The 1,981-nt window shown below is 47.0% G+C and overlaps 1 annotated feature.

Moving 5' to 3' along the window:
- Positions 993 to 1,492: an enhancer, noted in NCBI's record as "H3K27ac hESC enhancer chr2:196278375-196278874 (GRCh37/hg19 assembly coordinates)". NCBI's record gives its function as "activates a minimal SCP1, AML or CMV promoter by ChIP-STARR-seq in naive H9 embryonic stem cells {active_cell/tissue: H9 hESC(naive)}" and the evidence as "EXISTENCE:reporter gene assay evidence [ECO:0000049][PMID:30033119]".

Genomic DNA, 1,981 nt, shown 5'->3' on the forward strand with positions numbered 1-1,981 from the left:
ATGAACATTCTGCCTAACAGTATTACATTTAGAAAACTGGGATGAGAAAAAGAGACTGTGAGTATTGACCATGGGCAAAGTAGAAAGCACAGTGTCAATGGGCATGCAAGTAACTTGATACAGTTGAGGAGATACCAGTTTTCAAATCAGAGTTAAGCTATAAACTCCCCTTCTTGTTAGCTGCATAAAATTCAAGAAAGTACTTAATCTCTCAAGTTTCCATTTCTACTTATGTAAAGTCAAAACTAGGAGTACTAATATCTATCTCACAGTGTTATTTTAAAGATCATATGAAATAGATACTGCTGGAAATTCCTTGTATAGAGTGAGTACTCAAACATACTGGTTCCCAATTTCTTACATCTACAGCATCATCACTTGGCCTTCTAGGGTCAGGCCTACAATAATCACCCTATAGAGCTGGGTAATTTTAACTACGGAGAATCAACTCAAAACTTGTATATTTTCCACAAGCCCTCCTTAAAATCTATGATATGAAGTGGGCAGAGCAAGATCTATTCGGCATTGGTGGATGCTGAATGGAAGCATCCACCAACCATCCTCCCCACACAAACACCAAATTTAACAACTATCTACACCAAAAAAGCACCTTCATGAGAACCAAAAATCAGGTGAGCAATCATAGTACCTGGTTTTAACTTTATATCGCTGTAAGAGGCACTTTAAGAGCGTAAGAAAGACAGTCTTGAATTGCCAGTCTGCCAGCAGCAGTCATGTGGTGCAGAGAGAGAATCTGCATTTGGGGGAGGAAGAGCACAGCAATCGTGGGACTGCATTGGAAGGCAGTGCTGCCAACACTGGACAGAACTCAGCTGGTGTCCATGGAGCAAGCATTGAGACCGACCCAAGCCAGACGGAAATCACCCAGCCCAGCAGTTGGAACTTGAGTTTTAGCAAGCCTCACCACCATGGGCTAAAGGGCTCTGGAGATCTAAATAAACTTCAAAGGCTGTCTAGACCACAAGGACTACAACTCCTATGCAATTCATAGTGCTGTACTGGGTTTGGAGCCGATGGACTTGCGGGGGCAGATGACCTAGTGAGACATCAGCCAGGGAGGCTAAGGGAGTGCATATGCCACCCCTCCCCCAACTCCACGCAGTGCAGCTCACAGCTTCAAAAGAAGCTTCCTTCCACGCGAGGAGAGAAGAGGAAAAAGGAAAAAGGACTTTGTCTTGCAACTTGGATGCCAGCTCAGCCATGGTAAGATAGGGCACTGGGCAGAGTCCTGAGGACCCCATTTCAGGTCCTGCTCCCAGGGAACATTTCTAGACCCACCCTGGGCCAGAAGGGAACCTGCTGCATTGAAGGGAAGGACCCAGGCCTGGCAGGATTCATCACCTGCTAACTAAAGAGTTATTAGCCCTAAATAATCAGCAGCAGTAACCAGGTAGTATTACCAGGTATTAACACATGCAACGGGCCTTTAATGAGACTCTGAGATGTACTGGCTTCAGGTGTGACTCAGCACATTTACTGTTGTGATGCCTACAAGGAGAGACCCCTTGTGCCCAAGAAAAGCAGAGAGAAGAGTAAAGGGGACTTTGTCTTGAGCTTACATACCAGCTTAGCCACCGTGGAAAAGAGCACCAAGTGGGTTCTTGGGGTCCCCAACTCCAGGTCTTGACTCTTGGATGGCATCTCAGGACCTACCCTGGGCCAGAAGGGAGCCCACTGCCCTAAAGAGTGAATCCCAGGTTTGGCAGCACTCACCGCAAGCTGCTGAAAGAGCCTTTGGGCCTTAAGTGAAAACTGGTGGTACCCTGGCAGTACTCCCCATGGGCCTGCAGTGGTGGTGGACACAGGGAGAGACTCCTCTGCCTGGGGAAAGGGGAGGAAAGAGTAGGAAGGACTTTGTCTTCTGGTTTTGGCACCAGCTCAGCTGCAGTAGAATAGATCACAATATATGTTTCTAAGGTTTCCGACTCCAGACCTGGCTACCAGACAGCATCTCTGAACC

The sequence above is a fragment of the Homo sapiens genome, chromosome 2, assembly GCF_000001405.40.
Source record: "Homo sapiens chromosome 2, GRCh38.p14 Primary Assembly".
Lineage (NCBI taxonomy): Eukaryota > Metazoa > Chordata > Mammalia > Primates > Hominidae > Homo > Homo sapiens.